Below are 26,572 nucleotides of genomic sequence, written 5' to 3' on the forward strand. Positions count from 1 at the left end.
TATGCCGAGTCTGGACTGTCAGATGAGGCTGGAGCTGGCAGGCAGAGGAGGCTGCTTTTGGTTCTCTGTTTTTTGGAGTTGGTCTTGCACTGTCGGCCAGGCAAGAGTGCAGTGGTGCAGTCGTAGCTCACTGCAGCCTTGAACACCTCGGCTCAAGCCACTCAAGTAGGTGGGACCATAGATGCATGCTACTACACCTGGATGGGGTTTTTCTGTTGTTCTTTTTAAAAAATTTTTTGTAGAGATGGGGTTTATTATGTTCCCCAGACTGGTCCTGAACTCCTGATCTCAAGTGATCCTCCTGCCTCAGCCTCCCAAAGTGCTGGGATTATAGATGAGCCACGGCACCAGGCCGGTTCTTTCTGTTTTGTTTTTGTGATAAGTAGCAGATCCAGTCCTGCACTTTCCTGTAGGGGAGAGTCTCTTTCTTTCAAATGGTTGATCTTCAGAAATAACTGGCCACACCCAGATGGAAATAGCTTGATTTGTTTTCTTTTCTTTTTTTTTTTTGAGATGGAGTTTCGTTCTTGTTGCCCAGACTGGAGTGTGGTGGCGTGGTCTCAGCTCACTGCAACCTCTGCCTCTCAGGTTCAAGTGTTTCTCCTGCCTCAGCCTCCTGAGTAGCTGGGATTACAGGTACTTGCCACCACGCCCAGCTAATTTTTGTATTTTTAGTAGAGACAGGGTTTCACCATGTAGGCCAGGCTGGTCTTGAACTCCTGACCTCAGGTAATCCACCCACCTCAACCTCCGAAAGTGCTGGGATTACAAGTGTGAGCCACTGTACCCAGCCTTGATTTGTTTTTTTTTTTGGATGGAAGAGCACGTTGCTCAGTAAAAATGCGGCTCTTCTCCAGGGGTCCTGCAACTGAAAGGTAAGGACTGAGGGTCCCTCAGTCACCTTGGGCCTGCATGGGGTGAGGGAATGAGAACTCTGTGAATGGCCACACCTCACTGAGGATGTGTTTGTATGTGCCTTTTCTGAAGTGTCAACTCTTATTGGATTGTCAGTGGTCCAGGACCAGACCTGCTGTATGCCAGGTACTATGCTGATCTCTGGTAGAGAGGTAATCAAGACAGGATCTGATTTATGCAGCTATTTTTTTGGAAGACCATGTCATGAAGGAAAGCGCAGAGGTCTTGGAAAGAAGGACTTGCCATTGCCGATGTGGCTCACCGTCTCCATTTCCTTACTTCACCTGGGAGGAGACTGGGCTGTGGCTTCCGTGGTCCATGGATTGGGCAGACTTCAACACAGCCTAGGTGGATATCTGGCAAGTTGTCCCCGTTAGTGGTGTGTGGCGTTCAGGCAGCTCTTGTGTCTTGCTCTTCTCTTCCCCACCTCCCCTTGTACCATGAGTGGCTTGTCTGCTGTGGGAGGGGGCAGCACTTGGACCAAAGGCCTGCCCCATGGTCTGGACGGGGCAGGCTGGGATGTGTGTTCCTTGGCCACTTTGGGGCTCAAAGTAGCATCTGTGCTGTTAGATCTGATCTTGGCTTTAGTTTTTTTTGGCCTTCAGCTCCCTGGTCAAGCACTTGTGGCCAGTGACAGACTGTAAAACACACTGGAAATGTAGTCTGTTTACTGGGCCTGCAAAACCAGTCGCAATTGGTGACACTGGTGTCCTTGATGACAATTAGAATCATTGCCGTTGTCTTTCTTTTTAGACTTTTGCAGTCACCAAGAGGGCGGTGGGGTGACACATCTGTGTCACTTCCCTGCCCAGAGAATGCACTGGCTGATCATTTGATATTAAGACAGGTTAGGCCACCCACCACGGTGAGCATGCGTGCCCATCATTAAAATGCAGGTTAGGCCAGGCGCGGTGGCTCACGCCTGTAATCCCAGCACTTTGGGAGGCCGAGGCGGGCAGATCACGAGGTCAGGAGATCGAGACCATCCTGGCTAACATGGTGAAACCCCGTCTCTACTTAAAAAAAAAAAAAAAAAAAAAATTAGCCGGGCGTAGTGGTGGGCACCTGTAGTCCCAGCAACTTGGGTGGCTGAGGCAGGAGAATGGCGTGAACTCGGGAGGTCAGGCTTGCAGTGAGCCCAGATCACACCACTGCACTCCAGCCTGGGCGACAGAGCGAGACTCCGTCTCAAAAAAACAAAAACAACACATATTAACACCCAAGCCTTCCAAAACCAAAAACAAATCAGAAAGTAATGTGATATTGCTTCTTCCTAGACATCCAGCCACCCAGTTGTCCAGAACGTGGGAGTGTGGACGGCTTTGTTTTGTTCTGTGCCAAAATGGGGCCAGCTGGAAAAAAGGTGTGCATCACATAATTTTTGCAAGATGTCTCTGAGGATCACGGATAGAGTGAGTCCTTCCTGTTTGGACAGATGCTTTTTACAGGGAAGGGAGAGGAGGGTGAGGTCGACACTGGAATTGCCCCCAACCCCGACAACCACGTGAGCATGGGGCTCTCCTGGTGTGCCCGAGACAGTGAGTTCTGACTCACGTGTGCACCTGTGAGTCAAACCCTGAATTTAGGTCACAAACTTTATCACGGCCCAGAAACCTTACCATCCCACTCCAGAAGGGCCCTCACGCACTCCCAGCCCTTCCTGTTTTGGTGCTTCCCCTCATGAGACTGGTCTTGCCTCTTTTCCGGTTTTCCAGGGATGCACTCACAGAGTCAGTGCTCTTTGGGGTCCGGCTTCCTTCTGAGTGTTTTGGGATTTGCCCCTGGTGTGTATTGGTGTGCCTCTGAGTGGTGTGCACAGGGCACTTCTCACTTGTCAGTAGACATGTGTGCAGCCTCCAATTTGGGCCTGGTGTGAGCACCCGCTGCTGTGCAAGGTCCCTGCAGATTGTCTGTTTGTGGGTACGAGTCAGCATTTCTCTTGGTAAACACTCAGGTTAAACTGCAGGGTTACAAATTGTGTGTGTGGTTAGTCGTTTTAGAGAAACGACTGGGCTTTTCCCCCAAAATGGTCTGTGCTTTTCACACTCACAGGTGTGGCAGTCCAGCATACCGTCTTCACTTGTTGTTCTCAGTCTTTATAGTTTTAGCCACTGGGTCCCCAGAGAGGTTGAGGTCCAGACTTGGCCTACACGTGTGGCTCTGTCTTAAGCCCGTCACCCTTGTCCCTCTTTGATGGAAGCACGAGGCCAGGCAGAAGAGCCCACTGCCCCTTGTGCTAGTCAGTCACATAGCGGATGCTCGGACAGTTGCTGGTGCCACAGAACCCCTATCATCGTTGTGTTGGCTGCCTGCATACGGGTGGAGGGGTTGTCTTCACAGCGATGTGCAGAGCTGAGCTTCCACCCCCTGCTCTCAGGACTATGCCTCCCCGCAGCTGCTCCCGGCCCGCCGGCCGGCTGTCTACAGGAATGCACGTCCTTGAATGAGATGGACGATGGACTAATGTGGCACAGCTGTCGACGTGAGGGCTCAGGAAAGGGCTGGGTTCTCATAGCCCAGGGACATGGTTTGTGGCCCTCACACTGGCTGCCTCCTACAGCCCTCTTGGCAGGGATTGAACCCCTAAATCCCCCATCGGGGTGCCAGAGCTTTGGAAGTCCCACAGCAAGAAGCCATTTTCCCTTTGTGTGACCACTGGCCTGTCCCAGAGTCAGGGTCCAGACAGGGGGCTCCGGAGCGGGGTACTCTGTGGGCGGCTCTCTGGAGCCCCCCCCCCTCCACTGCCCCAGCCCCTCCCCAGCACCTGTTGAGGGCTGGCTGCTGCCTTTCACTTGCTAATTCTCTGTCTGCTTCTGGGCAACTTCCAGGAGAGGCTGGGTGGCCCCAGGGAGTGCCTTCACCAGCTCCGACTAGAAATCCACAGCCTGCGGGCATTTCTTAGCTCATGGGAACTGAGAGGTATGTTCCCTTGGGAATCTGTTTTGTGCTCCCTTCCCTGCCTTAGCCGCTGCCCCTCCAAACCTCAGTGGCCACCGTCTGTCTCCTCCTTGTTCTCTATGTCACCCCTTTCCTGCAGGCTCCTCATCCAATTTCCCTTTATCTGGGACTCTAATCCCAGAAATCGCTGAAATGTGAGGGGTCCACCTGTACTTCTAAGAATCGTTAGATTATATAGGGGCACCAGGATAACAGACTGCCCTGTTTCTAACTCCCCAAGTCCTCAGCTCACATGAGGGCCGTAGCATGAGCCGGCCCGGTGCCAGGTAAAAGAGCATCACTGCTGGTCTTCCTGAACTTCAGCTTCTCCAAGGTGTTGCCAGCTCCCTGTTGCCTTTAGACGCCCTCCTCTGGTCATGGAGGGGACTCGGATCCCTAACTTTGAAATGGGGCTTCTCTCTTGGACAGTGCAGGCTCTCTGGGGATGTTATTATCCTGTGGTGGCTCTGACAGAAAACCAGAGGCCACACTTTATATGGACATCGAGGTAATCACCAGTAAATGTTTGGCCTTCTCTGTCTGAACTCTTCTCACACATCTGTAAGTTGAGCAGATTTGCAGATTAAGCAGACCTCTTCCTTCTTTTTAAATGACTTGCTTTCTGTTTTGCTGCTGCGGCTTCTGATATCTCCTCCCAGCATGTATTCCTGCTGTTGTCTTATTTGTCACTCACTGACAGGCTTCTCTTCCTGTAACTGATGTCCCAGCTCCTGTAGCGGGTTATTTAAATGTCCCATCCACAGGGACAAGACGGGGAGGGTGTCTGACCAGCACTCCGCTGTGCCCACTGAAACTGGGTTTAGCTATGTTGCTTTTCAGTCTGCAGCCAGCTTCCCTGCCATGCTGCAAGCAGTTGCAGTGAAACCAACCTGGAGGCTACGGGGCGGCTTCTGAGTGCTCCTTAGGCCGAGAGCCAGTCCTGTCCCTCATGGTCCCCTAACCTGGTGAAGGAGTGGAGCGAAGGGCAGTGGGCGCCAGGCCTTGGGGGTCTCTGTGTGCAGAACAGGTAGAAACAGACGGAGTGGATACCTGGGAACCTGCAGGGGCATGTGTGATCCCAGGTGGGACAGGCAGGCGTCACACCCAGGGGGGCAGTGTTTTCCCGGTTAGCAGAATATGCCCCTGGAAGAAAAGAAAAGCCTACCTGGTTAGAAGAGATCTTTCTGAGGTTTTTCTTCTCTCTCTTAAGATGAGCATATGAATTATAATTTGTGAGCCTGAGGGGGCAGCTGGTGGTAGAAAAAAGAACGTGGGTGTCTGACAGCCTGGATCGGCCATGTACTGAATCTCTGTGTGGCCTGGGATAGTCTGCCCCCACTTTGTGAATGCCTCTTGTCTCCTCTGTGAATTGAGGCTCCACCATAGTGTAAAGTCACAGTGCTGAGAGGAAGGCAGGGTAACGCCTGAAGCCAAGCTGGATCTGCTGCCTTTGGAAACACTGAGTTACCTGTGGCTGAGGCTCGGGCAGATGCCACCGTTCTCTCTGGAGGGTGGGAGACAAGGGAGGGGACGTCTGATGGGTGGAAAGATGGGAGACATACCAGATGTTGCTATGTGCCTCCCTTGCTTGGGACCTGTGCCATAGGACTGCGGATTTTTAGAGCTTATATCTTTAAAATAGTTGTGACGTCATCAAATTGAAAAGCTTTGGGGGTTCATGCGACTGAGACTTGATGCCATGCAGAATTCCTCAAGGCAGGGCCCTGATAGCTTTCGTACAAAGAGCATTCTAAAGAGAGCCATCAGTCCAGGCCTCCAGGAGACTTGGCGTGTCTGCAGGCGGTGTGGGAAGAGTGGTCTGAGGGCACTCTCTGGGGGACTGCAGCCCAGAAATCATGGTGCACCGGGTGCAGGGGTCAGAGTCTGAAGGTACACGGTGGTAGGAGCAGAGACCGGAAAGGTGGTCTGGGATAGATTGTTGGATGCAGGAAGGGTGGAACATAGAGTTGGGACTGGGCCTTGGGTTTGGGACCCCCCTCTGGAGAAGGGAGAGTTGATGCTCTGAGCCTAGGTGGAGCCCAGGATCTCTCAGGCATTTGGACGGGAGAGAGGTGGCCAACTTGCTGGAGAAGGAAGGAGATTCCTAGTCCCGGAGACCAGCAGTCTAGGGGCAGTGGGGCACAAGATTCAGAATAGCGTCCTCACACTGAGGTCCTGGGTGACCTGGCCAGCCATGTTCCTGTGTTTGATCCACAGCCATAGGGCGTCGCCCGCTTTCTGTGACTTAGGTAAACATAGAGGCTGTACAGTTGCCACATAAGGCTGTAAGAACCTTAAGGTGACCAAATTTTGTTGGCTGATGATTAAATAGGTTTTATAAGCAATTATAGTGTATCTTTGGGGTGAATCCTATTAAATTTTTAGTACCTCTCACTTTTCAAAATACAACTTTGGCAGCAAAAAGAAAGTTACATGGGCCATGATACATCAGCAGGACAGGACCCAGGATCCCAGCCTCTGTACTACTGTCGAGGCTGCCAGAGATGGGAAATCCTTTTCCTGAAGCACTGGCACCTCCCCTTTTCCATCTGTGGGCCCCAGACAGCAGTTGGATTTGTGGGATATGTCTGTTGACATTTACTGTGTTAGAAAATTTGAAAATACTGGCCAGGCGCAGTGGCTTACGCCTGTAATCCCAGCACTTTGGGAGGCCGAGGTGGGCAGATCACATGAGGCCAGGAGTTCGAGACCAGCCTGAGCAACATGGCAAATCCCCGTTGCTACAAAAAAAGTAGCTGGGTGTGGTGGCGCACTTCTGTAAGCCCAGCTACTTGGGAATCTGAGGCACAAGCACCACTTGAACCCAGGAGACAGAGGTTGCAGTGAGCCGAGATCGCACCACTGCACTCCAGCCTCGGCGACAGAGTGAGACTCTGTCTCAAAAAAAAAAGAAAAAAAATTTCAGCCTGGGCAACATAGCAAAAGTGTCTCTACTAAAAATCCAAAAAAATTGCAGAGTGGTGGCGCACACTTGTAGTCCCAGCTATTCGGGAAGCTAAGGTAGGAGAATCACCTGGGCCTGGGAGGCAGAGGCTGCAGTCAGTTGAGATGGCACCACTGTACTCCAGGCTGGACAACCTGAGTTGAGACCTTGTCTCAAAAAAAAAAAACAAAAAAAAACCTATTATTAATTCATTTAAAGATGACTATAGTAGACCTGTGACATATTAGCATAAATAACTTATTATTAAAAATCTATTTTGCAAATCTCTTTAATACTCAGCTTACTAAGAAGGCAGCTGCTAGGTTCCCGTGGCTATTTCTGTGTCCATCCTCTTGCGTTCTTTGTGAGGGTTTGAAGCATGGTGAAGAAAATGTAACTAGCATGGAGAAGAGGTTGGAGAGTGGAGGAGCGTTTCCATAGGCTTTTTGGATCATTGTGCGTTTCCTCCTCTAATGAGAAACCAAAATCCAGAGTGGCTAGTCTCTACTGGTGAGTTGGCCCTTAGACTCTGAAACCTCATCATTGAGCTTTTTGTACATGGGTTACATTAAAATCCGTGGGACTCTTTTACACTTTGAACAGAAAAATCTGTTTTTAAAACTAACTTTTAATTTTAGAATAGTCTTAGACTCACAGAAAAGTTGCAAAGATCAGTCCTGCAAACCTCATCCCAGTCTCCACATTGTTAACAGACTACAGAACATGTGTCACAAGTAGTGAGCCAGGGTCCATGTATTATTTTAACCGAGTTCATACTTTATTCTGATTTCCTCAGTTTTTTCCAGCTGTCCTTTTTCCCTTACGTTATATTTAATCCTTGCGTCTCCCTAGATTCCTTGGACTATGACAGTTTCTCGTACTTTCTTTGTTTTGGGTTACCTTGTCAGTTTTGAGGAGCAGAGGTCAAGTGTTCTGTAGAATGTCAGTGCATTGGGATTTGTCAGATGCTTTTCTCACAGGCAGGTGATGGATTTGGGGGAGGAAGACCACAGAGGGTGAAGTGCTCTTCTCGTCACATCATATCAAAGGTACTGCTGGTCTTGAATGAACGATCGTTTTGGTGAGGTGCCATTTGTCAGGTTTTTCTACTGTAAAGTTACCCTTCCCTCCTTCCCCTGCTCCACCATTTCCATACTGTCCTCTTTGGAAGGAAGTTACTATGTGTGGCCCACTCTTTTTTTTTTTTTTTTTTTTTTTTGAGATGGAGTCTCACTGCGTTACCTAGGCTGGAGTGCAATGGCATGATCTCGGCTCACTGCAACCTCTGCCTCCCAGGTTCTAGTGATTCTCCTGCCTTAGCCTTGTGAGTAGCTGGGATTACAGGCACTTTAGAGAAGGGGTTGTTCACCAAGTTGGCTAGGCTGGTCTCAAACTTCTGGCCTCCTGTGATCCACCCGCCTCGGCTCCCAAAGTGCTAGGATTCCAGGTGTGAGCCACCGTGCCTGGCGACACAGCCTACTCTTGAGGAATGGGGACTCATGCTCACCTCTTCAAAGGTGAATTGTCTGCATAAATTATTTGGGATTCTTCTGCCTGACAGTTTTATCTTTTCTTCCCCTGAATGACATTTTACTCACGTATGAGTTTGTAATACCATTGAATGTTGGAAAATAGTAGTTTACTGGGTTATAGAGACGTTTCAGATACACATATCATCATTTAGTGTCACAAAATCAGATTTGTCAATGTCACCACCTATCCGTTGGGAAGTTGTTGAGCTCACAGCAAGTAGCAAATATAAGTTTTCCAAAATTCTGATTTTTGATTAATGGAAGCTCGTACTTTATCACTGGTACCAGATACCCTTGGGTGTTTTTCATGAAGCACCAGGCTTTGCATGAATGCTCACGCGAGCGTTTCTCTTCATGGCGCCATTCCACTGCAGTATGCAGCAGGAGGGCTTCTTCCTGTCGTACTTTGTCATGGGATACCACAGAGACACTACTCAGAGGTTGACGTTTAATCGCATTTCATGACTGCCCCCCGAGGTGAGTGGCGTCCCCTTCTGCAGATGAAGAAACTTGGCCTCATTGAGGTTTGGTGAATGGGCCAGTCGCCCCAACACCTGCAGAGGTGCACCCAGCCCCCTCAGTGGTCCTCGTGGGTCACTTGTGGCCATTCTGCACTGAGCAACTGGAGCAGGTCTGATTGGGTTGTGGGTGTACCTAGCTGGCTAGGGGGACAGGTGCAAGTGATGGGGATCCAGCCACTTGTGATGCAGATGTTTAAAAGAGGGGCAGGAGGTTTCCAGGCACAGCGAGCACTTTCCATTCATTGAGAAAGTTTGTGGTCGTTTCAGAAGCAGTGTGTGTTTCATGTTTGTGGCTTTCATGCACACAGGTGACTTCTCTCTCCCTGTGTATTGGCGAGGAAGCTGGCATCTCTCCCAGGAGATGCCTTCAGTTCATTTGCTGTAGGGAGTCCTTCCTCCACCCTGCTTGAGGAGTTCTCACCATGTTTTCTCCCTGGAGGAAAGTGGGCCTAGCATGGGTGTAGGGACCAGCATCAGGAGGGGTGCTGCGATCAGTGGCCAGGGTTTCTCCTCCTCTTTGTCCTTTACTCTCCCCACACCAGGCCCTCAGGAGCCTGGATTCCTGAGCTCCACAACCATCCTACCCCTTCCAGCAGGCTTTGGCCCACTTGCAGTGTGAGTGTCCACCACCTCTGAGGTTTGTTTCTTTCCTTTTTTAAAAGACAGGGTCTTGCTCTGTCTCCCAAACTGGAATGCAGTGGTACAGTCATAGCTCACTGTAGCCTCCAGCTCCTGGGCTCAAGTGATCCTTCTGCCTCAGTCTCTTGAGTAGCTGGGACTACAGGTGCTTGCCACCATGCCCAGCTTTTTAATTTTTTTAGAGACAGGGTCTCACTGTGTTGCCCAGGCTGGTCTTGAACTCCAAAGCTCAGGTCATCCTCTCACCTCAGCCTCCCAAAGCGCTGGGATTGCAGGCATGAACCATCGCACCTGGCCATATTTTGTTTCTGACCATCCCCTGACTTGTCTTGTGATTTGGGTAAGTTATCATTTCTTGATAGAGTCCGAGGGCCACATCTGTGTCCTCACACTGCCTCCTCCTTCACACCTCAGGGACTTAGCTTGTGGATGCTACTGGCTGTCCAGGATCCTTCAGCCATAAATAAAGGTTCACTATTCCAAAAATGACATAGTGGGGCTCAGTGGCTCACGCCTGTTACAGCACTTTGGGAGGCTGAGGTGGAAGGATCACCTGATCCCAAGAAGTTCAAGACCAAGCCTGGGCAATACATAGTAGTTCCCATATCTACCAATAAATAACAAATTAATTCGCTGGGTGTGGTGGCTCGTGCCTGTAGTCCCAGCTACTCAGGAGGCTGAGGTGGGAGGATCGCTTGAGCCCAGGAAGTCGAGGCTGTAGTGAGCTGTGATTGTACCATTGCACTCCAGCCTGGTTTACAGAATGAGACCCTGTCTCAAAAAAAATAAAATATGACCGAGCGCGGTGGCTCATGCCTGTATCTCAGCACTTTGGGAGGCCGAGGTGGGCAGATCACTTGAGCCCAGGAGTTTGAGACCAGCCTGACCAACGTGGTGAAACCCTGTCTCTACTAAAAATACAAAAATTAGCCAGGTGTGGTAGTGGGCGCCTGTAGTCCCAGTTACTGGAGAGACTGAGGCCGGAGAATCACTTGAACCTGGGAGGCAGAGTTTGCAGTGAGCCAAGATCGCGCCACTGCACTCCATCCTGGGCAATAGAGGGAGACGCTTGTCTCCAAATAAAGATATTTGATGACCTGAATTAGCAGCTGCCAGTCACATGGGGCCTATCCTCTCTAACCCCACACCTCCTCTTTAGGGTTCCCCCAGGGTCCTGGCACAGTGAGGGGTCCACACAGGAGCTCAGGTGCTGTAGGAGCCCAGGTTGTCTGCAGGTCCTGGTGTGTGACCTTAGGAAGTCATGTGGCCCTCCCTTAAGATTGTTCCCTGTACTGGGAACTGGGGGTAATGATGGAGCTGTGGAGAGGATTATGTGGAAGGGTGAATTTTGGTGGTTGGCCTAGGAATGGCCATCATAAAGGCTCAGCAGGTGTTTACTGGGTTTTTGAAACCTGAAAAGTTAGCCTTTCATTTCTTCGATTGTAGTCATTTCTAATGCATGTGTCTTCCTGTATTTCTAAGCAGAACGTGCTGGATTTGATGTGGCCTCCCCCATGGTGTCAGCTGCTGACAAGATTGGGCTGCAGTGGCCTCTGTGGGCGGGTAGAGGCTGCTGGCCCACATGAGCATGGTACTAAGGTCTCCTAGGCTTGTCTCTACTACCCTCAGCCAAGCTATTCTGCACGCCCCCGAGACTGGCCCCTGTCACAGTGAGGTCCTCTGGGCCTCCCTGGCTGGGCCCTTTGACTTCAGGGGCTGTTGCGTTCCTAGAAGGCGTTCTGGCAGCGCCGGCTGGCCGCCCCCTGGCTGTGCTGATGCTGGGGGCGGGCACTGCATGGGGCTCCTCTGCTCTAGCTGGGGACCTGGGACTGCTCCCTTCTGTACTGGGGAAAGGAGAGCAGGCAGGGATGGGCTCAGAGGTCTGGGCCAGCCACACAGACTCTCTCTCTTTTTCCTGAGCTCTTTAGCCAGCACTGTGGCAGTGCTCACCATAATGGATTCCCAGAGCGGTCGTTGGACCTGAAGTCTCCAGGAAGAATGATGGCTGAGTTTCAAAAATCCCATCCCAGCTGCTCACCTCCACGGCCTCTGAGGCAGAGAAGCAGAATGTGTTCTGTCTTCCTGGGCCCCACAAAGCAGGCTCTGGGCTTTTCTCTCACATCCCAGCCAAGAGGAGCTCAAGTTACATGGCGGGAGAAGTGTGATGGATGCTAAGAAGGGAGTTGAGGGAACCGCAGAGGGGCTGCGGCTGGCGAGAAGCAGGTGGGCCTCAGGGCATGGGGAGCGGGGTGACTCGGGAGGACACCAGACAACCCCCAGGAGTTCTTCAGTGTTTTTTTTTTGGAGACTGAGTCTCGGTCTGTCATCCAGCATGGAGTGCAGTGGCACAATCTCGGCTCACTGCAAACTCCACCTCCCGGGTTCACGCCATTCTGCTGCCTCAGCCTCCCGAGTAGCTGGGACTACAGGTGCCCGCCACCATACCCGGCTAATTTTTTTTTTTTTTTTTTTTGTATTTTTAGTAGAGATGGGGTTTCACCATGTTAGCCAGGATGGTCTCGATCTCTTGACCTCGTGATCCGCCCGCCTCGGCCTCCCAAAGTGCTGGAATTACAGGTGTTAGCCACCACACCCGGCCTAGTTCCTCAGTTTTGGGGCACAGCCTGTGTCTAGACAACAGAGCTCTCTTTCTATCAGCTGAGTGTCTCTGAGTGAACACCACCCCTTGGGAAAGGAGGGAGGACTGCGTGGGGTCCCAGTGAGCAGCCCCCACGTCCAGGTTGCAGTGAATGCTGCCAGAATTGTATGTCAGCACACCCACTACACAGGGGCCTGACACACAAGATATTGCCCGGACTGGCCTGGGCAACACAGCGAGACCCCACCTGTACAAAAACTTTAAAAATGCAGTGAGCCATGATCGTGCCACTGTGCTCCAGCGTAGGCAACAGAGTGAGAGACCCTGTCTCAATATCAAAAATTGAAAATTGAAAAAAATTAGCCAGGTGTGGTAGTGTTTCCCTGTGGTCCCAGCAGCTTGGGAGGCTAAGATGGGAGGATCACTGGAGCCCAGGAGTTCCAGGCTACATTGAACTATGATCACACCATTGCACTCCAGCCTGACAAGAGTGAGACCCTGTCTCTAAAAAAAGAAGTTGCTCAGTGGTAGGACTAACTTGGGGAACTGATAACTGTGTCCTTTTTCTCTGTCACAGGATTTTTCTTTTTCTTTTTTTTTTTTTCTTTTTTTTTTTTTTTTTTGAGACGGAGTCTGGCTGTCGCCCAGGCTGGAGTGCGCAGTGGCACGATCTCGGCTCCCTGCAGGCTCTGCCCCCCGGGGTTCATGCCATTCTCCTGCCTCAGCCTCCCGAGTAGCTGGGACTACAGGCGCCCGCCACCTCGCCTGGCTAATTTTTTGTATTTTTAGTAGAGACGAGGTTTCACTGTGTTAGCCAGGATGGTCTCTATCTCGTGACCTCGTGATCCGCCCACCTCGGCCTCCCAAAGTGCTGGGATTACAGGCGTGAGCCACCGCGCCCAGCCTGTCATAGGATTTTTCTAGGAGTGTTTCTTGAAGGCAGGTAGAGAGACTGGATGAAGCATGAGGAATTGCTTTCTGGCTTGACTCACTTCACTCCAGGTGCTGCCTGAAGCTGGGGTGCCTCCCAGCCTGCAGACTGCCTCCTCCTTTTCCATGGGACCCTCTTCAGCCCCTTTCATTGTTGGGCAGCTCTGGTCTCCCACATGACCTTCCTAGAGCTGTTCTCATCTTGAGTCTGCACCTGTCTGGGGGGCCTCTGTGCAGGCTGCTGTTGGTCCCTCTGTCAGGGGGTGCTTTAAGGCTCAGTGGGTAGTTACTTGGGTAAACCCTTTCTTTCCCCCTTCTCTTTCCCTGCTTTGTCCCAGGGTAGCATCTGAGGGAGGAAGTGGAGTTACAGTGATATGGGTTAGCTCCCCAGGGGCCAGCCTGGGCCATTGGCTCCATTAGCTTAGTGGTTTAAAGCAGCGAGGTATTGACGTTTTTCAGTCTGTCAGTTCTGCTGGTTGGCTGGTCCCGCCCAGCTGGGCACTGTTGCTGGGGCCCTCTGGTCTTTGCAGTTGCATGTCAGCTGGGCTGGGTGTCCCCAGTGGTTTCATCACTCACATGTGATGGCCAAAACAGCTGGGACTGGCTGGACCAGTCTCTGTGCCTGTCTCCATCTCCCCCACTATAGCGGGGGCTAGTGTGGGCCTCTGATCCCGTGGTGGTTTGGGGCAGTCAGACCTCAGCTCTCCTAGAGCAAGCATTCCGAGGGCTCAGGCAGAAGCTGCAAGGCTTCTGTGACCTCACCTGAAAAGGCTGCCACGTCACTTCCTCTGCATTCTGTAGTTTGGGAATTGAGCCATAAAACCAGCCCAGGTCAAGTACTACGGGGGCTATGAGTAGATGCAGCCAGAGCCTCCGGCCTCCTCAGGACTGCAGAGATGGGCCGGGGGCCTTGCAGAGTTTGGTCTGGTGTACAGGGTTTGTCAGCCATGAGTATTAGGGCTCCTTCTTCATATCCACAAAAGCGCTTGGACTCAAAAAATAGGAATTTGGCTTCCAGGGTCTGTTGCTTTACAAAGACGCACGATGACACACAATTCAGAAATCCTTGTGAGTGAGTTTCCCTTTCCTCCAGCAGCACAACATCTATGTGCACGAGGGAAGCAGCTGCCCACCGTGCAAGGGGGTCCATCAGTCCGTGGCGCTGGTTCCTCCTGAACTCACAGCCCCAACCCTGGAACCTCCATCAAGGCAAGAGGAGGAAGTGGGCGCTCCCCAGCCTTGCCAGGCCCCCAGCAGACCCAGTCTGCCCTTGGGGGGTTTGTGAATGTTCAGGTGTCACATTTCAGGACCTGTTTACTGAGATTGTCTGCTCTGTAATGGGCTCCCACTCTTTCCTCAGAAAGCTGTCAGGTCAGGCAGATGTTTCAGGTTTGCCATTGCTTCCATCTGGGAGCTGCAAGGCGAAGGCACGGGCGGCCTGTTTGCTGCCCTTATCTTCCCAGTGTTGGGGACCCCAGGAAGTACTGTCTTCTAAGGCCCGACAATCCAAAAGAAAATCACTCCTGCATGCTCCTATCCCCTTCAAGGTTGCATCCTGTCAGAGCATCCATCTTGCCTCTGGAGGCCGTGGTGCTGCTGCCATCTGGGTTTTGGGGGCTGCTGGATGTGGGCGGCTGGCTCTGAAGAGGCAGCATGTGATCTGACAGCAGGATGCTCCCGCCCCACCAAATGACAGCCTTGGGGCAGCTCCCGGCAAACAACTCCATTTCCTTCTCCGAGGTGGGAATGGGACCTGGTGCAGGGGACGCAGGCTGTCGGGGCAAACCTCTCTCTCCATTCTAGGGGCATGCAGGGTGGCTATGAGTGCTCTCAGGAAGGTCACTGTTCCCGAGGCCTGAGCTGAGCACTTTCAGATCAGCAGGGCTGCCTGATCCCCCTGCAGCCAGCCGGCTGTCTAAGGTGCCCGAGCCTCCTCAGCACTGAAGTCTCACCTCACCAGGCAGCCCTGAGAGGCTGCGGGACAGGGATTCCTCTGCCCTGCCATGCAGGAGCCATGGAGAGGGAAGTGTCACTTGCAAGAGGCAGAATCAAGTGAGACCCAGGTGTCTTCTAGCTCACTGGGTGAGGGCTCTCTCCACAGCCTGACTTGCCGGCAGTCGTTTGAAGTCCAAGGCTGGGCAAGGGTGGCCAGTGAGCTCCAGGCCTCAGCTTGCTAAAGGAGCTACTCCACAGGAGCATGCGGGCTCAGGGCTCAGCACCCTCACATGACAGGCTCAGCCAGCCTCTCCCCCATCCCCAGCCATCATAGACTTAGGAGGAGATTCCTGGCTCTGAGGACATGGGGGCTTGCCCCCTTCTCTGGGGCTGTGGTATCACCCCAGGGCTGGATACCCCCTTGCCCTTTGTTCATCTGGTCCTGGGAACACCTTGTCCCTTGTTGGGAGCTGAGGCTGTGCCACAGAGTGGGGCCATAGGTCCCTGGGTGCTGTGCCGGTGCCACACCCACCTGAAGGAGGTCGTGATGGCCCCCAGCTCAGGGTGCAGGAACCTGCTTGTCAGACAGGTGCTGACATGTCACCCTGCAAGGCAGGGGGAGGGAGGGCTCATCTTCATAGGGGGGTGGGGTGGGGTGCCGTGCAGGGAGCCAAAGGCACTTAGATGGGCTTGCTGGGCCGAGGGTGGGTGGGCCAGTCACTGGGCTGGGGGTGGCTAAGGAACACAGACCCACCAGCCAGCCCTTCTTGGGAAGCTCTGGGGGGTTTCTGCTCAGACCTGCACTCCCCCGAGTGGAACCCCGAGTTCTGCCATGACCTTCACCCCGAGGCAAGGGGACAGGGCCGGGCAGGCTTCCTGAGGCATGTTGAAGAGGGATGTTCTGCAGGCAGAACATGGCCATGCTGGGCCATGTCTGTGGGCCAGGCCCCAGGAGGGCGGGGGATGTTAACAGCTTGGTTCATGTCAGGTAGGGCCTGGTGAGCCCAAGATGAGTGTTTGCACAAGGGACAAGTGAGCTGGCAGGGCTGGTGTTGGCTCTAGCAGAGCCCTCATCCCACCCTTGCACACAGCCAGCAGCCCACCCTGCTAGGCCTGAAAGAGGTGAGGAGGAAAGGTTCTAGTGGGAAATGGTTCTGTGGCTGGAGAAGGCATTGCTGGGCCCTGCCTGTCTCCCCAAGCCAGCCTGGAGGAGGATTTCTTGTACCGAGGCCTCACGAGCTACAGGTCATGGTCATCCCTAACTTCCCTAGTGTGTGCAAGACTTGGGGGATCTTGCTGAAATACAGACTTTGATCAAGCAGGTCTGGGGCAAGGAGGACACGCTTCATTTATACAAGTTCCGGAGAAGCTGCCCTGCTGCTATGGCGGTGACAGCGGTGGTCAGACATTCACGGGGCCAGCCCCAAGCCCACCTACAGCCTTGCCCCCACCTGCCGCTCCCCTGTTGTGTCTGTCCATCCTGGTAGACTGAACCCTAAGGACAGAAATTCCTTTTATCCAGGGGTTCCTCCCCACTGCCTGCTATAGCACCTGCTTTTTAAATGAGCTCTCAGCAGATGTAAGGAATGAATGAATGAATGAATGAGGGAGAGGGGTATGTCTTTCCTGCATACCAGGCAGGCCTGTTCAGAGAACCACAAAGGTCCCAGCCTCCAAGGACAGCTCCTTCCCGGCACTGGCTGAGGGGACACTAAATATTAACCACGTACTGGCCGCTGGTTGCTGAGCAGCTGAAAGCCATAACCTTTTGCTGTGGAAGTGGGATCGTGTCTCAATTTAAGTTTATAATCCCGGCCTCTCCTCCAGGAAATTCTATGGAAGTTCCTGGCAGGTAACAGAATTTCTGTGCTTGTGAGGTCAGGGCCAGTGCCAGCGGGTCAGGGAGTGGGGGTGGTGCGTGTCAGCGAGCGGGTGAGACCATTTACGCTGATAACAGCCTGGCCTGCTTCCAGGGATTTTTGTAGGTCACATAAAATCTCTTGATCACTACGTTTTACATTAAGGCTTCTCAAGATGGGCAGGACGGGCTTATGGGATTTGTCCTGAACTATCACATCACTTCCAAATAAACTTGGTGCCCGGGACGGCTGCTGTGGAGTGAATGGCAGACGCTGTCCCTGGGCCACGATGCCATCCCTCTCAGCATGTTGGGCTAGATTTCCACTGGTTTTGTTTACTTTAGACAGTTTTTATAATTAAATATTTCCCTGAAATAATGCCTGCAATCATTTTGAGCCACATGCTCTTTTTCCTGAATTAAAGATCTCTTTTAGAAAGTACTGAGACTCTTAAAGCCTCTCTCCTTTAAAAAGTGAGCTTAACAAAGTTTTTCATTTTAGAAACTTAGAGGGGCCAGTGACCCTGCTGTGTGCGGTGTATGTAGAGGTGACTGGAGCCTGTGGTGCAGCAACAGTCCCCTGTGGGCTGGCGCCACACAGGAAGTGCCTGCAGCTCCACAGCCCTGGGGTGAGCCTGGCGCCTCCATTTTCTGACAGTACCTGAACCTTTACCTCCCTTCTCAAAATGAAGGCTGCGTGTCACAAACCGGTTGGAACTGGCCGTTGCCATGGTTTTCACGTTGGAAGGCACAGTTAAAGGGTCATGTGACCAAGGAGGGAAATGCCTTTGTCACATGACTTTTTGGTGGCCTGATTAGCATACAGGAAGTTCACTCCCTGCTGGCTGCTGGGATGCTGAGTGATCATTGATGGGTGGTGACATCATCTCTTGGATGAGTTATTGATTAGTCGCAGGCCAAGATGGGGCCAGGGAGCGCTGTGGGCAGAGCAGCCCTCTCAGGCAGCTTCAGCTGCTAGGTGGTCTGGACCCCTCGCCTACCCTCTTCCTTCAGGCAGGTTTGAATTTTATTAGACATCTCACCTCTGGAAGAAGCACACGCCCTCAATAAGATGATAAGAAGGGTTAAGTCCCTTAGAGCTTGGCTGTCATTTCATTTCAGCTCATGCTAGCCCAGGAATTGTGTCTGTAACTCTATACAAGATGCTGCCTTGGCCCCCTGCTCCCCTGTTCACTTTGGAGGCCACCTGGGTGGAGGCCAGCTGCTGCACCTCTGTGCTGAAGCCTTGGGACTGCCTGCCTCTGAGGTGCTCAGTGTGTGTACACGTCCAGGGAACCTGGAATTAGAGCCCTGAGGTCACCTTGAAAGTCGATCTTGGGCGGCATGGGGCCGGCAGCAAGGAGAGACATGCTGGCGGTTTGCTAAGACCTGAGTGAGGTGTCCTGGGTTACTTTAGAAACAAACTACCCGGTTCTGGGCTTCAGAATGTGGGCTGATAACCCCTTGCCTGGGGGATTGTATACTTCGAAATCGTACCTTTCTGTCCACGCCCAGGTCTCTGGTGAGAAGCTGCTTCATCAGGGCTAGGACCAGCGTTCAGGTACAGCCACCACGTAGCTGTGGTGGGTGGAATTAGGAGGGACCAGAGGAGAGCAAGTAAAGCGGTTCCTGAGTCCAGCATCTGGCGAGTCCAGGGTAGCATTGGTGAAGCCTTAACCTCTGGTGCTCTGTGTCTACCCTTCCCTGAGGACGCAGCTCATGGGTGTGGAGGGGACCTCAGAGGTCCCGAGGGCTGCTAGAGCAGAGTCAGGTTCTTCATCCTAGCGACTCTCCTCAACCCTGCCGGGGTCTAATTATCAACTAGACCCTGGCACAGCAAGAGCCAGGACAACTTTGAGCTGCGGCAACCAGTTAACTTTGTCCGAGTTTGTTCTCTGGGTCACAGTGCCACCTAGAGGACGTGTCTGTCCTTGGCTGGTTTTCCTGCTGACAAAAAAAATGGACTTGATTCACTTCGATGAATGTACAATGAGGCCGAGGCGGGCGGATCATCTGAGGTCAGGAGTTCAAGACCACCCTGGCCAGCATGGTGAAACCCTGTCTGTACAAAAATACAAAAAAAAAATTAGCCCGGCATGATGGTGCATGCCTGTAATCCAGCTACTCAGGAGGCTGAGGCAGGAGAATCACCTGAACCGGGGAGGTGGAGGTTGCAGTGAGCCGAGATTGCACTACGGCACTCCAGCCTGGGCGACAGAGCAAGACTCCATCTCAAAAAAGAAGAAAGAGAATACAATGAACCCAGATCATCAGGGACAGTTTGCCTTGTGCCGTCAGCAAATGGAGCTGCTTGGTTGGGGACAAAGTGCCATCTTTGGGACTTGCGTTGGGTCAGCGACACCACAGCAGGTGTTCAGCCTTGCGCCTTCAGTAGTGTCAGCTGTACACATACATCCTAGAGGATCGTTCACAGGAAAGGGAAAATCAGACTAGTGTGTTCCTGCCTGGGTCAAATGACTTGGGGTGCCTTGAGCACTTGTCTCGGAGCCTGGCCTGCAGTTAGCACAGAATGGATATTCACTGTTTCCCAGTTCTGATGAATAACAGCAGCTCATCAGCCACACTCTTAGACGTTTGTGACCATACTTTGACAAAATAACAAAAGAGGAAAGCCTGCAAGTACTTCCCCGATTGTCCCCTGGTGCTTCCCAACTGGTAGTGAGATGCCGTGGGCCGACGGTGAAAAGGGGAGGAACAGGCCTTAGGTCAAGTTCACAGGTGGAAGTGAGCTCCCCAGACCGTGGCAAATTCATTAGAAAGAAAAAGGTGTGGGGGCTGGAATCATGAGAACTGTCTCATGTTGCAGTTTTGAGCTGGGACTTACGGAGTGGGCAGCAGGGTAACAGGCAGAATGACCTTGGCATCCACGTGGGGCTGGAGGCAGCCAGCCAGAAACCAGTCCATGAGTAGATCAGGCAGGTGAAGAGTCTCTGGTCTTTGAGAGAACTTGTGTCCTAGTCAGTTTCAAAACAGACAGCCACTGCCGCCATGTGGGGCCCAAGAAGGGCCATCTAGCACCTGGTGCCACCTTGTGAGCAAGCTGGCAGCCTGTGGATACACCCCTCGGTCTTCTGGGGACAGGTTGGCTGCCAGGTGTGAGGGCTTTGGCCTGCCTGAGTGGAGAGAAGAAAATCTGGTTCACGCAGGGAGCTGGGCTCCCCTTCAAGGGGTTTCCACCATGGCCAGGGGCTGCGGGCTGGTGGCGAGGCACACACATGCCATCAGACCCAGCATGCTCAAGCCCCCACAATGGCTAACACTGAGCAGGGCCCCAGGATCCCGAGCCGAGTGTTTACCTGATCCGAGGCACACGGTAGAGGGAGCAGCCATGTTTTCCAAAGTCACCATGTCATGCTCAGGGGCATACGCACCCTCAGCCCTGGCGACATGGCGGCAGGCATGAAGTCCCTACCATCAGGGTGCCCACCTGGGCACTGGGATTGGGTGCCCTATGACGTGTGGGTAAGAAGAAGGAGGCAGCCTGGGAGCCATGGGGCAGGGCAGGGGATGTGGAGGATGCAGGGCAGACAGGGAACAGACGGGGAGGTCTCAGCTCCCTGCCATGTGTCCACAGGGGTGGGCACTGGGTCCAGCTGTCAAGGGCGCTCTGGTCACTACTGTCTCCACCCCACAGTGACATGAAGTCCGAGAGGAGACCCCCCTCACCTGACGTGATTGTGCTCTCCGACAACGAGCAGCCCTCGAGCCCGAGAGTGAATGGGCTGACCACGGTGGCCTTGAAGGAGACTAGCACCGAGGCCCTCATGGTGAGCCACGTGTTGGCGCTGCCGCCGGAGCCCCACTGTGCCCTTCCTACTCATGACACCCTCAGGTGGAGCTAGTGATGGCAGGGCCTCTGCTCCTCACCAAGGACGCTCCCTCTCAACCCTGTTCCTCTCGCCCCTGCAGAAAAGCAGTCCTGAAGAACGAGAAAGGATGATCAAGCAGCTGAAGGAAGAATTGAGGTTAGAAGAAGCAAAACTCGTGTTGTTGAAAAAGTTGCGGCAGAGTCAAATACAAAAGGAAGCCACCGCCCAGAAGGTGCGTGCCTGTCTCCCCTCCTTCCTGGGCCAGCAGGAGCGCCTGGCCTTGCCTTGATCCCCTCATCAATGTCAGCGGCCAGAAAGGTGAAAGGGCTTCCTTGAGGGAGTATAGGGCAAGGTCCCACTCCCGCATTTGTGGACTCCAGTGTGCATTTTGGATTCAGCTTACAAGATGTTAAAGTGAATTTCAGTCTAGAGTATTCTGGTTCTGAGGGTCTAAAGCTCACTTTTTTTTTTTTTTTTTTGAGATGGAATCTCACTCTGTCGCCAGGCTGGAGTGCATTGACGCAACCTTGGCTCACTGCAACCTCTGCCTCCTGGGTTCAGGTGATTCTCCCGCCTCAGCCTCCCGAGTAGCTGGGACTACAGGCGCGTGCCACCACACCCAGCTAATTTTTGTGTTTTTAGTGGAGACGGGGTTTCACCACATTGGCCAGGATGGTCTGGATCTCTTGACCTCGTGATCCGCCCACACGGGCCTCCCAAAGTGCTGGGATTACAGGCGTGAGCCACTGTGCCCGCCCTAAAGCTCACTTAGACAACAGGTGTCAAGGAAGTGGAGCACAGATGTCTGGTGCCGCTGGAAGCATGTTTCTGGGTGAAGCACTCTGTGCAGAAAGGCCGCCTGCACTGTGGGCGCAGGGGATGCCCCAGTCTCTACCATCATCCCTCCTGCTGTGTGCGTCTCAGTCCCCTCCCAGCTGCAAGTGTGCTGAGCTCCCGTGGATCTCAGCCCCAACTGTCGGGAGGGTCCTGCTTCTGTTTCTTCTTCCCTGGAGCCCGAAGCTCGCTGTTGCGCTGCTTCTAGATGCAGCTTAATGGGCAGCGAGGTTAAGTTTATTTTGTTAGGCTTTTTGAGTGCTCTGTTCTGGGAAACTCCGACCTTCCAAGTACTTTAGTCATTGCCTCAGTGACCCAGAAAGTAAGTGTGTTCTGGGCAGCAGGAGCTGAAGGAAGGACAGGACTCTCTCTGCTCTGGCTTGGGGTTTGTTTTTTGAAACCCTGCCCCCACTGCCCCCGCGCCCCCTCCCCGCCCCCCACCTTACACCTACCTAGTTAGCAAGTGGATTGGAAAGAGCCTGCTGGTTTCTTTTTTCTATTTCTTTGTCACTTGTCGAAAACTCATGGAGGGACACCAAGTCTGTCACTGGCCCTTCTCTACTGGAACATGCAGCTTTAAAAAGTGCCCAGAGTCACCGTTTTCTCACTGAGATTGAGATCTCCCTGTCTGGGCCATGGGTCCTTTGCCTCAGCAGTGCTGCCACCATCAGCCATTCTGTCCCCTAGAGGGCACAGCGGGTGCCAGGATACTGCGTGGGTGTCAGGGAGCAGCCAAGAAGTGATGCTGAGAGTAGGGGGTGGGGCTGCTGGAAAATCTCTTCTAGGCCCATGTAGAAATTGTCACTTCCCACTGCAGATGGGGTCACTTTCAGCCTTCAAGCAGAACCTCTGAGCGCCTGATGCCGTAGAGGAGGAAGACAGTCAGTCCTCTTCGGCAGCATTAAATCTTGGCAACTCCGTGTGAGGAGAGGGACCGGCCCGGTGGCCCCTCACCTCCTGGTGTCCTGCTCTCTTGCAGCCCACAGGTTCTGTTGGGAGCACCGTGACCACCCCTCCCCCGCTTGTTCGGGGCACTCAGAACATTCCTGCTGGCAAGCCATCACTCCAGGTCAGTGTCCTTTCTGCGTCTCACTGGGTGCCCTGCTGGCACTGCTGCTGTCAAGCACAGGCTCCTCGGGCTCCCAAACAGCCCTGGCCCAGGTTCTGCAAGAGGTTGCGCTTTCCTTCTGAGTAGGCTGGAGTGAGGCCCTCCAGCCCACAGCCTAGGGGAAGAAGCACACGTGCACTTTCCAAGCCCCACGGCCCAAAGTAGGCCACTGTTAATGTCACAGACAGAAATCATGGCCAACACTGGAAGGGGGCTTTCCAGTGAGCGCCCCTAGCAAGCCTGATCTCCCTTCGTGTTGACTCTTCCGGCCAGAGAGCCTCCTTCCAGGGCCTCCAGGTGAGGGGCAGAGGTTTTCTCCCAGCCATATGGCTGAGGTCAGAAGAGGCCCTCCTGCCCCTCCCTCTCAAACAGGCCTGAGCCCTCAGCTTGCTCTAGGGGGTGACCATGCCCATCCTGCCGTGGGCCGGCCAGTGTCACGTGAGAATGAACTGCCACGTTGGTGGGACTCACTCAGGAGTGAGCCCAGGTTTGCACGGCTCTGGGTGGAGTCACTATTCCTTGTTCCAGTATCTAGAATCAGTAGTCATCTTTCTTAATTTTGTGTTATACGTTTGCCTTGTTAGTTTGTTTGAGACAGGGTCTTGCTCTGTTACCCAGGCTGGAGTGCAGTGGCACGATCTCAGCTGACTGTAGCCTCTGCCTTCTAGGCTTAAGCCATCCTCCTGCCTCAGCCTCCCAAGTAGCCAGGATTACAGGCACACACCACCATGCCTGGGTAATTTTTCCATTTTTTGTAGAGATGAGGTTTCACTGTTACCCAGGCTGTTCTCAAACCCCTGGGCTCAAGATATCCACCCGCCTTGGCCTCCCAATGTGTTGGAATTACAGGCGTGAGCCACCACACCCAGCCAGCTTTTTTTTCTTTTTTTCTTTTTTTCTTTTTGAGATGGAGTCTTGCTCTGTCGCCCAGGCTGGAGTGCAGTGGCGCGATCTTGGGTCACTGCAACCTCCGCCTCCCAGGTTCAAGCAATTCTCCTGCCTCAGCCTTCTGAGTAGCTGGGACTACAGGCACGTGCCACCACGCCTGGCTAATTTTTGTATTTTTAGTAGAGATGGGGTTTCACCACGTTGGCCAGGCTGGTCTCAAACTTCTGACCTCATGATCTGCCTACCTCGGCCTCACAAAGTGCTGGGATTACAGGCATGTGCCACTGTGCCCATCCATAATTTTCTTTAACTTCTCTGCTACTTAAAAAAAAAAAAAAAAAAAAACTAGTATGTACTTTCATAAAAGCAGCAAAACTGCTTGCTTTAAAAAAAGTGTGGGGGGGTCCGGTCCATGTAAATCTGGGTCTTGGTATCGTTGGCAGACCTCTTCAGCTCGGATGCCCGGCAGTGTCATACCCCCGCCCCTGGTCCGAGGTGGGCAGCAGGCGTCCTCGAAGCTGGGGCCACAGGCGAGCTCACAGGTCGTCATGCCCCCACTCGTCAGGGGGGCTCAGGTAAGCAGGGCTGTGCACATGGGGGAGACCTGGCAGCCTCAGCAGTCGTCTACCTTGAAAGTAGGGCCCTTCCCAGTCCTTGGGGGCAAGGTGCCCTGTGCCTTCCGGTCCCGCTCCATTGTTGATCTCAGTCAGATTTCTTGTTCTCCCCACCCTACCCCAACAGCAAATCCACAGCATTAGGCAACATTCCAGCACAGGGCCACCGCCCCTCCTCCTGGCCCCCCGGGCGTCGGTGCCCAGTGTGCAGATTCAGGGACAGAGGATCATCCAGCAGGGCCTCATCCGCGTCGCCAATGTTCCCAACACCAGCCTGCTCGTCAACATCCCACAGGTGAGGGCTGCGCCACACTGTGCCAGGGAGAGTGTGTGTCCCACCTGTGACTGCTCCCCTTGGACCCAGGTTCTGGGGCACAGTAGTGTTTCCCTGGGCTGTGTGGCATGACCTGCCTTGCTCTTTCAGAGCCAGGCAGGGGCTTGGACTTGAGCTCCTGGGGGCCACAGGGCTGTCTGGGTCGTGGGCAGAAGTTTTGTGGGCAGACTTGCTATCCAGCACAGGTGGGCAGCTGACGAGAGGGGCGATGCACGGACCTGAGCTGAAGGTGGGGTCTGCTTACCAGCCCCATGGCTGAGGAAACAGCATGTGGCACACAGCAGGTTTAGGGGGATAGTCGAGGCCCAGGAGAGGCCGGTGATGGGCCCGGAGATGCCTTGGGGGGCACCGGAGCCCATGCCGCCCTCCCGGCAGTGGCTTCTTCCGATTGCCTCCTCAGCAAATGTTCTCATGTCACCAGGTGCGCCTATTCTTAGCCGCACGTCCCTTCACCTCTGTACAGAGCCTCTCAGATGGGGAGGGTCTGTCCCCACCCACTGGAAGTAGGATGGGAAGAGCAGAACCAAGGGGCGGGTGGGCTGGAAACAGGCGCCTTGGCTGACAGATAAAATTACCAGGTCTGCAGGGGCTTTTGTTGGTGGGCGTGTTCGCTCTTTCTTCCCTCTTTGGCACAGTTTGTTCTTGCCCACCCTCCTCAGACAAGAGCAAGGCTCTGGGCAGTGTCCCTGCCTGCTTTCGAAGGTCAGGTTCGAGTGCAGAGAAGATGGCTAGTCCTGGACTGACCCAGGCAGGTAGTTTCATACACCTGTTGACTTTTTTTCTTTTTTGGAGACAGTCTTGCTCTGTTGCCCAGGCTGGATGGAGTACAGTGGTGTGATCAAATATCTTTATTTTATTATGAGACAAGAGTCTCCCTCTGTTACCCAGGCTGGAGTGCAGTGGCATGATCTTGGCTCACTGCAACCTCCATCTCCCAGGAGATACTCCTGCGTCAGCCTCCCAAGTAGCTGGGACTACAGGCGCCTGCCACCATGCCCAGCTAGTTATTGTATTTTTAGTCAAGACAGTGTTACACCATGTTGGCCAGGCTGGCCCTGAACTCCTGACCTTAAGTGATCCGCCCGACTTGGCCTCCCAAAGTGCTGGGATTACAGGCGTGAGCCACCACATCCTGCCCACCCGTGAACTTTTATCCAGTCCTTTCTCTTGTCTTTGTTTCCTGAGGGTGGGCACAGGCAGTCAGTGGCAGAGAAGGTGGTCTGCTCCTAGCGTGGCTGGGGGAGGCTCTGAGGGGAAGGAGGAGGGGAACTGGCTGGTCAGAGGTGAGGGAGGCCTGGGTTTGGTCTTGGTTGCTGAGGGGACAACAAACCAGCAGGCCGGTCTCTGGGAACCTTTCTTGGGGGGTGGGACCCTGGGAAGGCATCCTGCACACCCTGTGCCCCACAGTGTGGCATTTGCAAGTCATTGGGTGTGTCCATTTTCTGGGGGTGGGGTGCACAGCTTTCATCATATTTCCAGAGGGGTCCTCAGCCCCTAAAAGCAATAACATTGGCATGTGGGCAGTTCTGGGTTTCAGGGAGAGCCCTATCCAGCAGTTGTGGGGCTGGTGGAGACAGTCAAGGGTCTGCTCCTGGGATCCAGGCAGGACTGTGAGGTGGCACTGGAGCGGTGAGGACTGGGTGGAGGGCAAGGGGAAGAGGTTGGCCTAGGAGCTGCTTCCCCCATCGCCCCATAAGGACTCGGGGACTACCTCAAACATTAGCATCCCAGGGGAGCACATGCAGAGAGGCTCATGGGGGTGCTGCGGTGAGCACCCTCTTACCCTGTGAGAAGGCAGTAGGCCAGGCCACAGCCAGAGGACAGTGGCCCTGCTGGGCAGTGTGGTGACCACCAGAACCTGGTGACAGCCACATGGGTGCCCTCACATTCACATGGCGGAGCACAGCAAACTATAGATTTTAAGTGTGTGCGGTTTATCTGGTAAACCTCGGTGCACATGTGCAGATGAGCAGCCACTACCTAGGGTGGTGTGTTTCTCGCGCCTCTCCCTGCTGCCCTGGCTTCTGAGAGCCTGTTATCATGGCTGGGTTCACTTTTGTTAAGGACGCCATCGTCAAGGGTACTGGTTAGTGCAGTTGACAGGACCTCGGGCTTCGGGGCGCTGGGGAGCCTTCCTCTGGGCAGGCGCACGGA

The 26,572-nt window shown here is 53.5% G+C and overlaps 1 protein-coding gene across 47 annotated transcripts in view, besides 15 other annotated features; it reads left to right on the forward strand.

The window, feature by feature from the left end:
* Positions 1-26,572, forward strand: part of GATAD2A (GATA zinc finger domain containing 2A) — a 123,090-nt gene that overhangs the window by 85,998 nt on the left and 10,520 nt on the right. For 41 of the 47 annotated variants that reach the window (NM_001384514.1, NM_001384512.1, NM_001384523.1 and 38 more), the window contains 5 exons: positions 20,466-20,598; positions 20,741-20,872; positions 22,454-22,543; positions 23,914-24,045; positions 24,212-24,379. In NM_001384514.1, the coding sequence (NP_001371443.1) occupies positions 20,466-20,598; positions 20,741-20,872; positions 22,454-22,543; positions 23,914-24,045; positions 24,212-24,379 (655 nt within the window). Of the gene's footprint in view, positions 1-2,192; positions 2,328-20,465; positions 20,599-20,740; positions 20,873-22,291; positions 22,544-23,913; positions 24,046-24,211; positions 24,380-26,572 lie in introns of all 47 variants that reach the window. The other 6 variants (NM_001384541.1, NM_001384540.1, XM_047439010.1 and 3 more) reach the window with 5 other exon arrangements.
* Positions 825-1,517: an enhancer, noted in NCBI's record as "H3K4me1 hESC enhancer chr19:19583474-19584166 (GRCh37/hg19 assembly coordinates)". NCBI's record gives its function as "activates a minimal SCP1, AML or CMV promoter by ChIP-STARR-seq in naive H9 embryonic stem cells {active_cell/tissue: H9 hESC(naive)}" and the evidence as "EXISTENCE:reporter gene assay evidence [ECO:0000049][PMID:30033119]".
* Positions 1,518-2,209: an enhancer, noted in NCBI's record as "H3K4me1 hESC enhancer chr19:19584167-19584858 (GRCh37/hg19 assembly coordinates)". NCBI's record gives its function as "activates a minimal SCP1, AML or CMV promoter by ChIP-STARR-seq in naive H9 embryonic stem cells {active_cell/tissue: H9 hESC(naive)}" and the evidence as "EXISTENCE:reporter gene assay evidence [ECO:0000049][PMID:30033119]".
* Positions 2,352-2,421: a silencer, noted in NCBI's record as "silent region_10444". NCBI's record gives its function as "represses an Ori minimal core promoter by ATAC-STARR-seq in GM12878 lymphoblastoid cells {active_cell/tissue: GM12878}" and the evidence as "EXISTENCE:reporter gene assay evidence [ECO:0000049][PMID:35858748]".
* Positions 2,903-3,594: an enhancer, noted in NCBI's record as "H3K27ac-H3K4me1 hESC enhancer chr19:19585552-19586243 (GRCh37/hg19 assembly coordinates)". NCBI's record gives its function as "activates a minimal SCP1, AML or CMV promoter by ChIP-STARR-seq in naive H9 embryonic stem cells {active_cell/tissue: H9 hESC(naive)}" and the evidence as "EXISTENCE:reporter gene assay evidence [ECO:0000049][PMID:30033119]".
* Positions 10,700-11,307: an enhancer, noted in NCBI's record as "H3K4me1 hESC enhancer chr19:19593349-19593956 (GRCh37/hg19 assembly coordinates)". NCBI's record gives its function as "activates a minimal SCP1, AML or CMV promoter by ChIP-STARR-seq in naive H9 embryonic stem cells {active_cell/tissue: H9 hESC(naive)}" and the evidence as "EXISTENCE:reporter gene assay evidence [ECO:0000049][PMID:30033119]".
* Positions 12,414-13,198: an enhancer, noted in NCBI's record as "H3K27ac-H3K4me1 hESC enhancer chr19:19595063-19595847 (GRCh37/hg19 assembly coordinates)". NCBI's record gives its function as "activates a minimal SCP1, AML or CMV promoter by ChIP-STARR-seq in primed H9 embryonic stem cells {active_cell/tissue: H9 hESC(primed)}" and the evidence as "EXISTENCE:reporter gene assay evidence [ECO:0000049][PMID:30033119]".
* Positions 16,336-17,119: an enhancer, noted in NCBI's record as "H3K27ac-H3K4me1 hESC enhancer chr19:19598985-19599768 (GRCh37/hg19 assembly coordinates)". NCBI's record gives its function as "activates a minimal SCP1, AML or CMV promoter by ChIP-STARR-seq in primed H9 embryonic stem cells {active_cell/tissue: H9 hESC(primed)}" and the evidence as "EXISTENCE:reporter gene assay evidence [ECO:0000049][PMID:30033119]".
* Positions 16,336-18,185: a biological region, named in NCBI's record as "BRD4-independent group 4 enhancer GRCh37_chr19:19599635-19600834".
* Positions 16,986-18,185: an enhancer, noted in NCBI's record as "BRD4-independent group 4 enhancer chr19:19599635-19600834 (GRCh37/hg19 assembly coordinates)". NCBI's record gives its function as "activates an origin of replication core promoter dependent on BRD2, P300/CBP, MED14 and CDK7 cofactors, and independent of BRD4, by STARR-seq in HCT116 cells {active_cell/tissue: HCT116}" and the evidence as "EXISTENCE:reporter gene assay evidence [ECO:0000049][PMID:35650434]".
* Positions 17,120-17,903: an enhancer, noted in NCBI's record as "OCT4-NANOG-H3K27ac-H3K4me1 hESC enhancer chr19:19599769-19600552 (GRCh37/hg19 assembly coordinates)". NCBI's record gives its function as "activates a minimal SCP1, AML or CMV promoter by ChIP-STARR-seq in primed H9 embryonic stem cells {active_cell/tissue: H9 hESC(primed)}" and the evidence as "EXISTENCE:reporter gene assay evidence [ECO:0000049][PMID:30033119]".
* Positions 17,423-17,702: an enhancer, noted in NCBI's record as "active region_14358". NCBI's record gives its function as "activates an Ori minimal core promoter by ATAC-STARR-seq in GM12878 lymphoblastoid cells {active_cell/tissue: GM12878}" and the evidence as "EXISTENCE:reporter gene assay evidence [ECO:0000049][PMID:35858748]".
* Positions 18,461-18,710: an enhancer, noted in NCBI's record as "active region_14359". NCBI's record gives its function as "activates an Ori minimal core promoter by ATAC-STARR-seq in GM12878 lymphoblastoid cells {active_cell/tissue: GM12878}" and the evidence as "EXISTENCE:reporter gene assay evidence [ECO:0000049][PMID:35858748]".
* Positions 18,461-18,854: a biological region, named in NCBI's record as "Sharpr-MPRA regulatory region 10818/8147".
* Positions 18,560-18,854: an enhancer, noted in NCBI's record as "identical tiled regions #10818 and #8147; HepG2 Activating DNase matched - State 8:EnhW". NCBI's record gives its function as "activates a minimal TATA promoter and a strong SV40 promoter by Sharpr-MPRA in HepG2 cells {active_cell/tissue: HepG2}" and the evidence as "EXISTENCE:reporter gene assay evidence [ECO:0000049][PMID:27701403]".
* Positions 19,771-20,970: an enhancer, noted in NCBI's record as "CDK7 strongly-dependent group 2 enhancer chr19:19602420-19603619 (GRCh37/hg19 assembly coordinates)". NCBI's record gives its function as "activates an origin of replication core promoter dependent on BRD2, BRD4, P300/CBP, MED14 and CDK7 cofactors, with strong dependence on CDK7, by STARR-seq in HCT116 cells {active_cell/tissue: HCT116}" and the evidence as "EXISTENCE:reporter gene assay evidence [ECO:0000049][PMID:35650434]".

Source organism: Homo sapiens, chromosome 19 (assembly GCF_000001405.40).
Source record: "Homo sapiens chromosome 19, GRCh38.p14 Primary Assembly".
Taxonomy (NCBI): domain Eukaryota; kingdom Metazoa; phylum Chordata; class Mammalia; order Primates; family Hominidae; genus Homo; species Homo sapiens.